The following is a 15,059-nucleotide window of genomic DNA, read 5'->3' on the forward strand; positions in this document are numbered from 1 at the left end:
ATTGGGATTGTGGGAGAAAAATAAAAGCCTAACTTACTAGATATATTTCTAGTGGATTCTGGAATATTTGGATAAACCTACTTTGGATTCATTACAGATTCTCTGCTCCTGAATAATATAGTGGTCTTGAGATGCACAAAACTGGTCTTCCACTTCTAACATCTTTGACAAGCTGACTTACTTTGTGGCACAAAATTATTCAAAATAAAGGGTTTATTTGAAATTGGAGATCTATGAAATACAGTGTTAATGAAGTAGAACATTTAGAGTAAGGTTAACATTTTAAGAAACTATAACCCCATGGATAATTTCTTTTTGCTATTATAAATGCTTCTAATATTAAGACTTTCTTAAGCAATTAAGCCCTTCTAACAGGTGATCCCTTTTTCCATTCCTGTTTTTCTCCAATTCTAGTGTTGAACAATTAATTGTTTCTTCTGGACGTATCAAAAGTTTATGATTTTGCAACAGTCTTACTTCTATAGTATACTAAACAATACATTAAATATATTGTTAGTGGTAAAAATAAATTTACAAGATTTTAGATAATCAAATAAAGAATAAAGAAAATACACAAACATAGAAAAATGGTCCTACATTTAATAAAAGAATGAAAACAATAATTAATTTGCATAAAGAGAATGTTCAAATCTAGAAAAATATTGATTATCTTCTTTCTTTATAGAGAGTAAAAAAAGATTAGGTTTCATCACGTCTAGAATATCATGTCACTCAAGGTCAGAAAGATCAACAGTTGGATATTTCCTGGGAAAATGTAAATATACCTGCTAGATTAAGAAAGCCACTTGACTTTTTTTTTTCTGAGCAAAGAAAATAAAGACAAAGAAAAAAAAAGAGAAAAGTCCATTTAAGACAGTAGTGTACATCAGGAATATTTTCAGAGGCAGACAAGTTATTTACACAGAAGCTGGAAGTGTAGGAACACATTGTTTAATTCAGTGAACTTTACGTGAAAACAAAGTAGGAGTATGAAAGTAGGACACATATATTAAGCTCATCCTGAATAATCAAGAGATTAAAAGCAAAATGCAAATTACTAGTAATTACTTGTTCTTTGGATACTTTTTGGTAACAAATTTTTCTTGGCCATGAATTGAATTACCTTCAATGTCATCTTTTCATTGGCCACCAATATATCATTTTAATTTAGTTTCAGTAGCTACTCTCAGGAGTGCATGTGCCAAGGACAGCGTCATAGTGAGAAAGCAAAGGGCAGCAGGTTCATCATAAAGAGTGAAAAAAAGCCTTTCACTTTTATTTGCTTAATTGGGGATTAAGTGGATTTTCAAATTTCAAAATGGTGTTTCTTTTTAGAAACTACAATTTTAACAGTTAAAGAAGCTGCTATTATTTCAGTCTCTATGATTATTTAAAAAGAATAGAAAAGAAAAAAAGGCAACATCCAATTCTTAATGAAAATGCTCGTTTAATTTTAGTCCATTTAGATGCATTGGTTTTAAGACAACATGAAATGAAATAATTATATATTCAATATAAAACTCTTTGAAATATTACATAAATAAAAGCGGTAAAATATTTTATTTTACCATGTGCTATATAAGCATCTTATACCTAACATAAGCTTTTGGTTTTCCTCAAAGATGGCCATTGATTAGAATATTAAGGTATTTACTCTTTGAATTGGAATTTAAAAATAAACCTCAGTTAATGTCACCAACATTGTTGTTATAGGACAAAATATTCACCATAGAAAGTCATCACGGTGGCTCTAATATCTCTCCCAGGCAGTACACACAATTTTGTACATTCAGACCATCATTCTCACTATAAATAACAGAGGATGATAATCCAGGCAGAAGAAAATGGAAGATGAAGTTAAAATAAATACTGCTCATCTACTATTCTTCCAACGTGGTACCATTTAACTTCTGCACAGACAGTAATGCCTATCATTGACATTTCAGAAGGGAACTGAAAACATTGTAAACCATTTTCTGAGGTAAGAAATTATGGTATTCAAACAATGCTTCAGTCTAAGAGGGAAAGGCTGACGACTTCAGCATAAAATAAAGCTCATCATAAAACATGCTGTTACCTTCCCATTACAGGACACATGGGAAAGTTTGCCAACAAGAAATTCAGCTTCCTTTTCTAAGATCTTTAGATTTCTTTAGGCTGTTATTGCGGCCACAAAATGGAATGCAATTCAATAGGAAGGCACATCAAGTGACAGTGTAATGGCCAAACTAGATATGCAGTAACTGTTAGAAAAATTTCAAGTTACCTCTTTCAAGTCATATTCAATACTGATAGTTTTTAATTCTATTTTAATTAAATACATTGTAATTTAAATAATATAAATAAAACAATCTCATGCTTAGTATTTATATCCTTACGAAAACTAAAAATGTGGCTAATTCTTGCTCTAAGGTAATTGAGGAATATTTTGAGAATATTGGGGATGATTCAAGATTACAAATAGTAACATAGGAATTTTACACAGCTATTGATAATGCTAGTGAACACGTTAAAAACTCTTCAGGAATTGGATTTATTTTCAAAGTGTGAGTGGGTGTGAGTGTTTTCAGCTATTTTTGAAGATGGCAAATCTACACTTCAAGGGCTGTCAGATTTTCTATCCAATAGAGCTGTTAAAAAGTACATTTTCATAGTTCAATTTGCTACCCCTGGCCAAAATCACGTGACACTTAAGGAGTGCTATGACAAATTAATTGATTTCTTCACATCACCAGGCACAAAGATATTTCTTTATGTTTATGGAAGCAACACGAGGGTCCTGGCAACTAATAGGATTGCAAAAGTATTCATCAGACTTTTCTTCAGCAATACATTTCTACAGAAAACAAATATTTCTGAGTCTTCTACACATTACAAAATTATACGATTTATCCCGTTTTTGACAGGGAATGCCTGAGGTATTTAGATATGGAAAACTATAGAATGTATCATGGATGGGAAATGATAGGGCAGTCTTATCCTACTCAAAATGTGTTTTTTAATACAGATTAAAATTCTCAGCTTATTTATTTGAATAGAAATTTTATTTAGTTTTTAAAAATTACTCTCAATGAATATTTTTTATTCAAAATAACAGCTGGGTTGCCATCTCTAATTATTTATAAACAGAAGAGTAATGTCTGAGAAACTTTAGAAAACACTGTGCCTCATTTTTTGAATGAGTAGCTCACATTATTTGCAATTTATCAAGAGAAAGGTAATATTTAGTATTTATTTATAATAAGATAAAAAAATTTAGAGTAGTCAAAATCCCTTTTTGCTGACAGGCTGCTGAACTCTCACTGGCAGAGTGAGTACAGAGAGATTCAATGTGAAAAGTGGAAGATAATGTGCTCACACACTAATGGGCATTGAACTAGACATAGGCTCATTTTTCACATCATGTCATCTGTAAGGTTTGAATAAAAAGTAATGGCCAGAATGAGCCTGGCTCTATCTGAGACATTATCATTTGCCTCCTCAGTTTTATTTGTGTTGACTTGTACAGTCTAAAAAGATGACAGTCTCTGGGCCTCTGGATCACTCAGAGTGATAATACATAGCACATTACACTGTTGGTGACAGGTTCTGTTCTCCTGGATGGCATATGAAAGGAACGCATCCCTTTCCGTCATTTCAAATGCTATAAACTGACAGAATAAAGAATCTTGTGGAGGGGACATCACAAACCTTGTCTGTTATGATTTTATAAGATAAACTGGAGTTTCTAGAGTATCTTGTTCAGGAAATTAGTGTCAGTCAAACTTTGGTGTTTTTATTTTAAAGAGATAAATAGCAGACTCTAGAAAAGTAGCTTTGCCTGATTTCATACAGCAAAACTGCCAATACCAAATGTCCAAGCCTGAGAAAATCTATGATTGTCCTCTCTTTAAAGAGCCCCTGGGTTACGTAAAGTGTAATAACTATCCATGGCTTCAACAGGAAATAAGTGCCCATGTGTTGACTAGATCTTTAAAGAAATCACTAGCCAGGTTGATGAAAGAACACATCACTATTTTTAAATATTTTGGAAGGCTTGGTTTTTGTTAAATTGCTAACTTAATGTCCTACTGAACTATAAACATGCCAAGACTATAATGTTTTTTTCCTTGGTACATTTATTCAAGGTTTTATCTTCTTTTTCTTTATTTCAGTAACTATTACTGAATTGATTTACAGTAGTATGAATTTAACTGAAGATACCACAAAAATATCACTAAGATAGATAATAATATGCAGAATTTTATTAATTTATCCCAAACTGAATAGCATATGGATTCCCTACTCCTGCGTTTTTTAAAACATTATAGTGTCATAAAAATTTACAGGTACTTGAATCATAATCTGCCAATTGTCATAGCTTTTTTCCAAGTAATTTCAATTTCTTCTATTATAATAAACGTTCCTCGCATGACTTAAGTTTAAGTGATTATTTAAGTTAGACTTGCTCATTGTACTTTTCTGTCCATTTCCATGTTGGAAACTTTTTTTACTGTCACAATGAATGAAATGAATGTCAAAGAATGTTTAAGACATACATTTATAAAAGTTCCTTTATTCAAATTTTTTATTATGAACCCATTAAAAATTTATTTTGCTCTACAATTTGACCATATTGTTGTATTTTTAACTATAAGATAGGGCTGATAATTCAGTTTGACTTGATAGTAAACCATAGGAAATATTTTAAAAATCAAAGATTAAGTATAACAACACAAAATGCTGATTAAGTAAAGAAAGGAACTGATGATAAAGAAGTGATGAGAATCTATTTCAAATTTGTTTCTCTAACTCTGTGGATGTCTTATCAATCATCAGTACTTACGCTTCATGATATTTCAAAAAGTAAATCTAGGTTCCCCCTTTAAAATAGAAAAATAGGTATTAAGCCTCTAGTTACAAGAAATATAAACACTTCTTTCAATATTTTCACATGAAACATGCAAAAATTATAGTTTGTTATCCCGTAGGTGGATTTTTAGAATTTTCTGGGGCTTGGAAATTGATTTGAAATTCCCTAAATTGCAGGTGTGCTGAATTACGTGACTGCCCAAAGGCACCCAGGCATTTATGTGTTCAGATGCACCCTCACCTTCTATTAGGACAGTTTCATTCATATAATCTCATATTGAGATCCAGACACCTGCCATGCACTTGCTGTATCTAATTCCAACTATATAGTTAAGTTGCTTTATGGGGGACATGAACAAAATTTAAATGGAGGGATTAAAAAGTGCTTAATAGCATTAATTTGTAGTAGGATTATCTCAGGTATTTTTTTAAGGGTTGCTTAATGTTTGCCACAATAGAACATTTGCTATTGCTATGAGATCCAGTATAAATTTGCAAATTATTCTCCAACCTGGAAATCTTGGTTTGTTTTCTTCATCAAGGTAACTTTAAGGCTTGAGCATTGTTCATATTCACCTCCTTATGATGTATCATGTGGCTTGATGCCGATTTTACAGACCATTCCCTCCCTTATGTTCTTACCCGATTTGCCTCTGAGTATTTTATTCTGAAGGTGAACAAGTTCCTGATTTGTTCTCTCTCTCTCTCTTTTCCCTTTTCCTTATCCCTCTCCCTCTCTCTCTCATTTCCTTAGAGCAATGCTTCATGAATAGTAAGCATACACTGAGAACTGATGACGTGAGGATGTTTAAAGAACTACCTCCTTTAATGGAGCTAGACTAGTCCTTTTGGGGTGAGTTTTGTTGGACTTTGGCTCCTGCAGATGCACCTCAGCTTTGGAATTATGCGGTCAACAAATAGTATGTAGAATCGAACGTGTTACTTTCATGTAATCAATGCCATTAACCTGATAAACAGCAATAGCTTAAAATTTCATAATAATACGTAATACCACACTTAATTTCTTGAAAACCTACATATCTGATAAACCTTACTGATAAGTGGAAAATAGAAATGAGTGGGGTTGTAAAGAATTAAATCTCACCACTATTAATATATAGAATGTAAGACCACTTCAAGGAAATTGCTTTCTATTATATATATAGAAAAATAGAAAAATCAAAGCTCTTCAAAATCGTTTAGCTGGTATGACAAAAGGTATATATAATAGAATGATGAAAAATTTTTTCAAAGTAAATATCTATTCCTACAGAAAAAAAGGCAAAAATAAGAAGAAGAAGAAAAAAAAAAAGAATGCACTGTAGCCCCTAATACAAGTCTGTAAATCCACAGTGTTGTAAATCAGGCAGCGTCATGGCTAACCACATGGTAGCGTAGGAACCGGGAAAATGCAGCCATTTGCTGAGGCTTAGTGTAAAAGTCATTTTCGCCCTTGGAAACGGGAATTTCTGCCCAATTCCATTAGGCTTCCACCTCATGTCCTTAGACTTACTCCTGCCTTTCTTTGTTCAGGTTTTAATTCCTTAGTGTCGACGTTGAACTCGCCTCCCAGAACAAGTAAGCCTCTTCCTTGTAGTCTGCCATGGAGTCGTCAGGTTAAGGGTGTATCTGCTCCATTCCTGATAAATGCCAGTTTTATCTGGCCCATTTCTTTTGTGTGCCTCTCAGTTAGATAGCAGGGTTAGGACATATAAAATCTTGTATTCTCCATGTCCCTTTTATTTTGGAAAGCTTTTGAGAGCTTAACATTTCCCTGTTTCTTGTTGTTCAGACCAAACCATTCCCTTCTGAATCCGGTTACTAGTGGCCTCTTGCCTCCTACAGCAAATCCAGGCTTCCTCTTGTCATCTTCAAGGAACCCATCTCTATCTTGCCTTTCTGTCCTTGTACACACTGCCTTAGCTGTCACTTTTATCTCCGGTCAATTTTAACCATGTAAACAGAGTAGAATCATTACAACAGTTAGTCAGGAAGTCAACTGATATTATACTGGGATTAAAAAGAACAGAGGCCAAAATTTTCCATTCTAAAGGGCTAATAAATATTTACCAAGACTTTATCAACTTATCACAATATTAAGAACTTTCAACTTATCAGATATGCTTGTATGCAAACATTAATACAAATATATACACACACACCCCTCATTAATTATATATATATAATTAACATATGTACAGTCAACCAATTGGTTTTATCATCTAAAGAACATTATATTTAAAATTATGTATGAATTTAAAAGGACTGCTAAGGTAATATGTTCTAAATCCCTTTGTTTTCTTTCCATCCCTTAATAGATGATTTAACCTCTTTTATATGCCCTTCAAGCATTTTTCTCTTACAAAACTCGTTCTGTTTTTGAGTAGTTAAAAAAAAAAAAAGTTTTCCCTTAACTTGAAATGAAACCCGGCCCCAGTAACTTTCAACTTTTGGATCTTCTTCTTACCTTTTCAATTATACAAATGATGGCTAAATACATTTCCATATACTGTCTTTCAAATATTTTGAAATACATATTGTATCTTACCTGAGTTCTCTATGTTAAGTAATCTCAGTTACTTCAAACTATTATATAATATTATATATTATATAATAACATTACGTTATATAATATTATATATTATATAATAACATTATGCTATATAATATATATTATATAACATTATGTTATATAATATATGTAATATAATATATAATATAATAAAATGTTATATAACAAAATGTTATATTATATAATAAAATATATATTATATAATAAAATGTTATATAATAATATTATATTATAATATATAGTATTACACAATATGTATTATTTGTATCATTTTATAATATAATATGTATTACTATATTATTATTATTATTATACTGTATAACTCTTTTTCATGATCCTGTTTTGTGTCCTCTACTCCTGCTTATCAAAATTTATATCAAAAGATGGTTCTCACAACTGAGTGTGATGTTTGGTCTGGCCACATCCATGCTTATTATTAAGCTAAACTAAAACTCCAATGTGATTTTTACGTGGGTTAATCCTAGGTATGCCTTCTTTATTCTATCCTTATAAACTTGGATTTTTCAGACCTCAGAACATGATAACTTTACATTAACTGCTATAACATTTTAACCTTACAGGTTTATCTATTTTTTGCCTTTAGAGATTTTTTCAGATATTGGTAATAGGTGAATATTGTCTACATTACTTTTAACCTCATGCCATTCACAAATGTGATTGGCATGCTTGTCTGAGTGCTCATCAAAGTCCTTAATAAAGGAGTCTAGCAAAACTCTTTGGGGGCAGTTTGATTATTTTGCAAACCTAGAAATTCAATCAAGATGAAAAGCTTCAATTAGTCTGAAGAAATACGAAATATCAAAACTCTTGTTTTCAACTCTGATGATAATGTAATGAACCTTTGCTATAATGTATATTTAGGTCTTTTGAAACAGTAGGCTTGTGCATGCTAGTAATTAGTTAAATTTTTGGTATATTTTTTATCTTTACAAAGATTGTAAAAGATGACAAAGTTTTAAACGTTACCTGACTTGTCTCTCCAAATAAATTATGTTCAAAAGTTTCCAAAGGATTCTGTTGAAATGGGTAATATTCCTAAAGTTTCTTCTCAATAGCTTTTACGGTACAGAGAATGCCAGTCCAATAAGCCAAAGTAACCACCAAAGTAGCCTTGTGAAAGATCAATTAGTTCAATTATTCGTTTAAAATTAAGAATTTCCAGACAAATATATCAGAAATTATAATAACAATTTGTGCTATTTCAAGTGTTTACTTCTCACCACTAACTACTCTTTCAGAAAATATCTATCTATACCTTATTGAATTGTAACACTTTTTACCCCAATACAAATATCAAAACCTCAGGTGAGAAGATGTAGTTCCAGGTAAACAAACACAAACATTCCATTAAATATTCACCTGTGCCTCTGGTTAAGTCATTTCATCTCTGTCAAGATTCCTTAACAGTAAAGTAAACTAATAGTATGTCATCTCTTTCAAGGGATTTTTTTGAGTTAATGAGCATGCAGTGAGCAATTTAAGGATCAAACATACTGGGCAAAAGACTAAATTTTTATTATAGTGGATACTCGCAGCCTTATGTAATCTGCCAGTCTAAACCATGTGCTGCTTTGGCACATGCTTTACTGAAAATAGCAGACCAGTTTGTGAGCTGGCACAATTTCAACATAGCAGATGGACATGCAACGAAATAACTAGCAAAGAGACCTTGTTTCAACATCAAATATGTTTCCGTAAGGCCAGATTCTTGGGCAAAGTTGTTTTAGCGATCTGGTTGCAACTAAGGTAAGATGGTATATTTCCTTTGCATTTAGCCTTCACTAACTATTTCTATATATTTTAGGGAGTTATTTCAGTTATTTCAGACACTGAAATATTTGTATTTGAAAATCACAATAACTTGGACTCTTTTAGTTTGGAATTTTGAAACACCAGCAAAAGATGAGGCTTAAAGAATACTTGGATTGTCGCTTTATGAGAAACTATAATTATCTAGCTGGCCACTCAAGAAAATGGTAGATTTATTGAACACTGTATCATGATACTCTTCAGTCAATGTTCTTTAATCTTGTGTCTGAAAGGAATGATGTTAACTGAGCTTTTTACTAAATTAGAATATTCCAGATATTATTGACTAGCTCCTTTGAATGGTAATACATTCACATGGCAAGCTAAGAGTAAAAACTGTAAAAATTAATGGAAACTTCAAATAATTTTCAGTTATTGTCAAATATTATAACAATTAAAACAAGAGACATTTATGCTAAATATGTCTTCCGGGATAAATGAATACCTTAAATTTAATAGGATAGTACATACATTAAATAAATAAATTATTTAAATGATTTGAATGTATTTTGTTCAGTAATGTTTAAATATATGATTTGTTATGGGTATAAATTTCATTTCAATTCCTGGATACATCATAACCCATCAGCACTGAAAAGCTTTTTGAGAATTAAGAGCAACAACTAAAGTAATACATGCATATGATAAAAAAGCAATCAGACAATAAAAAGTACAAGTTTTCCTCCTACTGGAAAACCGCTAGTGCCTCTGTGAATATGTAACTACTTAATAGTTATGTGTATATGCTTTCAGAAACATCTGATATGTATGTTTTAAAATTTATATTCTTATGTAATATTTTTATATATTTTAATTAATGTCCTAAAACTCTGCATATGACAATTCATATTTTTGTTTTTAATAGCTTTATATTAATTATTATATAAAAGAACCATGATTTATCTAAACAGTCCCACATTAGTGGCCATTTTAATATCTGGCAAGGGTCACATTACTGATCTTTTTCTGAAATTTCCTGGATATTGTCACATATTTATTTCCCTAGATGAACACCAGTGTTATTTTGTCAAGTGTTCCTCCAAGTAAAAAGGCAGATGGAGTTTTCATTTGCATTGAATAGAATTTATGAATTTAATTTAGGGAGAATTATAAAAATAAAGTTTTTAATCAAAGAACATGATTTTTTTTTACTATTCATTCAAGATTATTTATATCTTTCACTTGTATGTTTGTCATGCAATATATCATAGGTGTGTAAGCTTTTTTTCATATAAAATCAGTACATTTCTAGTTAGGTATACTCTTGATTATTATTATCATTGATACTAACCCAATTAACAACAGAACTTTTTCTTTCTCTCTATCTTAACCTGCCACTATTTGTATATAGGAAAGCTGCTGTTTATATTAATTGGCTAACCATCCACTTTTTTTAACATTCTTTTATTGTTTGTAGATTGTGGTATATTCTCTTGAGTTTTCTTGCTTATATAGTCATAACATCTGCAAAAATTGTTACATTTCTATTCTCCTTTCAATTTTATATTCCATGCATTTCCTTCCCTTCTCTAATTGCACTGGCTAGAATTTCGGGAATATTGTTCAATAATACTGGTAAAGTAAGGATCTGTTTCATTTCTATCACTTTAATAAAATATGTTTAATTTGTTAAGCTTTATGTTGGCATTGGTTGGTGATAGCTCAATCCCTGTTACATTATTCTATGAAGATATAGATATTAATTTTCTTCTATGAAGGTATCTATTTTCATATAATATTAAGGGTTTTTATTTTTGTTTGTTTACTTTAAGAGGTAGATTTTATGGGTTCTTTTCAATTATATATTTCTCCTCACCTTTTCCATGAATTTTACACTCCATTGACTTTAAATTGGGCCATGTGACTTGATTGGACCAATGATACATGGGTACAGATATTTTTAATGGGTTTTTGTTGTTTTACTAACCCTGATCCTTTGACCTATACCATGGGGGCCACATGGTCCAGATAGGTTACTCCTTTAGCCTGAATCCAGTTAGTTCAGCCCAGCTCAGCATTGCCTAGTAGAGTTCATAGATTCCAGCCATACAGCAACCCACACAACTCAGAATGTGAGTGAGGAACAGAGTAACCAAATATTTATTTGGTCTTATCAATAACTAATTTCAATCTTAAGTGTCTTTGCATATATGTTAGTTACTATATTATTTTCGTATGTTTTCTGAAAAGAAATAATCTTTATATGTCTAAAATGAAATCCATCTGCACACAGAAGGTAATTTTTTACATACAGCATAAATAATATGCTTTTTTTGAAAATTTTAAAAAAATTATAATTATTTTTCAGACCTGGTCTATAGGAAGTACTTTTTTACAATTTGATATCATTTTAATAAGTAATATTTTTGTATTGCTATTTTGGTTTGCTGGCTTGACTTTTGTGTCTTCATCCAGTTTTGCCATCAGTGCTATGATAGAGTCAAAAAAACAATTTAGAAGCTTTGTTCTTAAAGTTATGTTTTGGATACATTTAAATAGCATTTGAATTTGTTTATTCACTTATAATCCAGGCCTGTTTTTTTTTTCTTTTAGGGAGTGGTTTGATAATGTTTTATTATCATCTTAGTTTATTGGTCTATTAGAAATGTATGTGTATTTTGCTGACGACTCATTTCACTTAAGTTTTCAAGTTTATTTCTATAGTGTTTTACAAATTACTCTTTTATAATTCTTATTTTATTCTTATAGTTATTTCTTCATCTTCATTTTATATATTCTTTATTTGCTTAGACTACTTAAATTTATCCCTGCTTTTATTCTTATGTATATATTGTCTTATCTCTGCAGTGGCCAAAAAAATTTTAAATAGAAATTATGCTAATTATCCTTCTGATTAATCATGGCTAGATGATTTTCATTGAAACTGCCATTACCATACCATCTTGCAACACACTTCTATTCCCTCCATTAAATCTGGCTTTCTTTCTAGCCTTGGAAAACATCAAACTTACCTCTGCCTTTGGACCTTTGCATTAGCTCTTTCCTCTACTTAGAGTATTCTTCCTTCAGAATACAGGTTCTCAACTGTGTCTATACATTGAAATAAATTGGAGTGTTGCAAAAGAAGACTGATGCCAAGAACCTGCCCTCAGATATTCTGATTTAATTGATTTGAAAGCAGCTTGAGAACTGAGATTTTAAAAACTCTTCAGGTGCTTCTAATGTGTGGAAAACCATGGCCCTAGGCCATTCTCATCCACGATTCTCAGGTGCTTCTAATGTGTGGAAAACCATGGCCCTAGGCCATTCTCATCCACGATTCTCAGGTGCTTCTAATGTGTGAAAAATCATGGCCCTAGGCCATTCTCATCCACAATTCTCAGCCATGGATGAGAATGAAAATTCCAAACACCAAAGGGGTATAATATAAAACAATGCATGTGCTCCAACCCAAATTGATGAAATAAGAACTTTGGAGATTGGATGAGGGAACAGTCAAGAGTAGTTTTTAAAACTCCCTGGATGATTCTAATATGCAGGTAGGGTAGAGGAATACTGTCTTAAATGTTTTTATAATGGCTCCTACCTGTTCTTAGATAACAATTCAAGAATTACTGGAGAAAAGTTTTACTTGACTATATTATGTAACATATCTCCATATTATGAGTCCTTAACCCCCATATAGATTATATCTATTTTTTAGAGTTTACCACTGTTAAAAGGTATTTTATCCATTTATTCATTTATATATTTTTGTCTGATTTTTTCTGAATTGTATTCTTCATGTATTATTAATTCTTATGACCCAACTGCCTAAAAAACAAATTTAACAAATTGTACTGTTTTGTTTTATTTAGTAGAATTGATAAAATCTGTTATTAATATTGTCACCTTTTAAAATAATTTTTTGATGCATTTTTTCCTCCCCCATACTGAGTTTATATCATTGTATTATTGCTTTAGGTGACTCCTGTACATAGTACAGATTTGGCTATAGTTCCAACTAGTCTTGAAATGAGAGAAAGTTTCAGTTGTTTGTTTTAGTCTTTTGGTATGTAGATGATTTTTTTGTTAATATTTATATCTGGTAATTTTCAAAAATTACAGATTAGCATTAGTTATGAATTGGGTGGTTGCAAGAAAAATACCACCCAGTTGTTTTGTATAAAGAAGAACTTCAGTGAAAATTTAAGCATTGTAGAGAAAAATTGCAAACAAGCCAAGAAAGACATTCAGGTAAAGGTGTTTCTAGAGATGTATCACTTTGTCAAAGATCAGATAGTTGTAGGTGTGTGGTCTTATTTCTGGTTTCTTTATTCTGTTCCATTGATCTATGTGTCTGTTCTTGTACTAGTACCGTGCTGTTTTGGTTATTGTAGCCTGGTAGTAGAATTGGAAGTTGGGTAGTGTGATGCCTCCAGCTTTGTTCTTTTTGCTTAGGATTTTCTTGGTTATTTGGGCTTTTTTTGGTACCATATGAATTTTTAAATAGTTTTTTTCTAATTATGTGAAGAATGTCAATGGCACTTATATGGGAATAGCATTAAATCTATAAATTGCTTTGGGCAATGTGGCCATTTTCACAATATTGATTCTTCTGATCTATGAGCATGGAGTGTTTTTCCACGTGTTTGTGTCCCTTCTGATGTCTTTGAGGAGTGGTTTGTAGTTCTCCTTGAAGAGGTCCTTCACTTCCCTTGTTAGCAGTACTCCTAGGTATTTTATTCTGAAAGGATTCCCTACTTAATCAATGGTGCTGGAAGAACTGGCTAGCCATATGTAGAAAATTGAAACTGGACCCCGTTTTTACACCATATACAAAAATTAACTCAAGATGTATTAAAGACTTAAATGTAAAGCCCAAAACTATAAGGACCCTAGAAGAAAACCTAGGCGATACCATTCAGGACATAAGTACAGGCAAAGATGTCATGACAAAGATGCCAAAAGCATCTGCACATTAAGTCCTAAACAAAATATTTAAAACATTATAAGGAAGTTCACTAAAAGAGGGAAGACAGTCTTAATTGCAACCAGAGATCATAAGTGAGAGTACATGTAACAAAATGACACTTAGGCTTATAGATAACTTTTTAAGAGCAACAAAAGAAGACAAAAATTAATGGGAGAAAATATTTTTAAGGTGCTGAGAAAAATACCATGTTTCAATTCTATAGCTAATTTATTATTAAAAAGAAATATAAAGAGCATCTAAATCAGAAAGGAGAAAATAAAATTGCCTCTGCAGACATCATCTTCTATATAGAAAATCCTAAAGATTCCACAAAAAGTGCATTAACTATAGATGAATTTTGTAAAGTTGCAGGATACAAAATCAACATACAAAAATAAGTAGTGTTTCTATACACAAAACAAACTATCTGATAAAGAAATTAAGAAAACAATTCCACGTAAAATAACATCAAAAAACACTTAGAAATAATTTTAACTAAAGAGTGAAAGATTTGTATGATGATGGAAGAAGATACAAGTAAGTGAAAAGGTAACTTGTGTTATGGATCAGAAGGATTAGCATTTTTAAAATATCCATACGCACAAAATCATCTACAGATTTAGTGCAATCCCTATCAAAATTCCAATGACATTGTTAAGAAAATAGAAAGCACTATCCTGAAGTTCACACAGGACCACAGAAAACCCTAAAAAGCCAAAGCAATCTTGAGTTAAAAGAACAAATCTGGAGGCATCACACTACCTGGTATCAAAATCAGCTACTAACATATAGTAAACAAAAAAGCATAACACTGGCAAATATCAATGGAACATAGGAGAGAATGCAGAAATAGATCCAGTCATTTATGGTCAAATTATCTTCAACACAATT

General features: G+C 31.4%; 1 long non-coding RNA gene across 3 annotated transcripts in view; it reads left to right on the plus strand.

Moving 5' to 3' along the window:
* The first annotated feature begins 9,123 nt into the window (after positions 1 to 9,123).
* LOC107985953 (uncharacterized) overlaps positions 9,124 to 15,059 on the plus strand; it is a 139,261-nt gene continuing 133,325 nt past the window's right edge. For all 3 annotated transcript variants that reach the window (XR_001739746.3, XR_001739747.3, XR_001739748.2), the window contains exon 1: positions 9,124 to 9,190. This is a non-coding gene — a long non-coding RNA (uncharacterized LOC107985953). The remainder of the gene's footprint in view (positions 9,191 to 15,059) is intronic.

This window comes from Homo sapiens, chromosome 2, assembly GCF_000001405.40.
Source record: "Homo sapiens chromosome 2, GRCh38.p14 Primary Assembly".
NCBI lineage: Eukaryota > Metazoa > Chordata > Mammalia > Primates > Hominidae > Homo > Homo sapiens.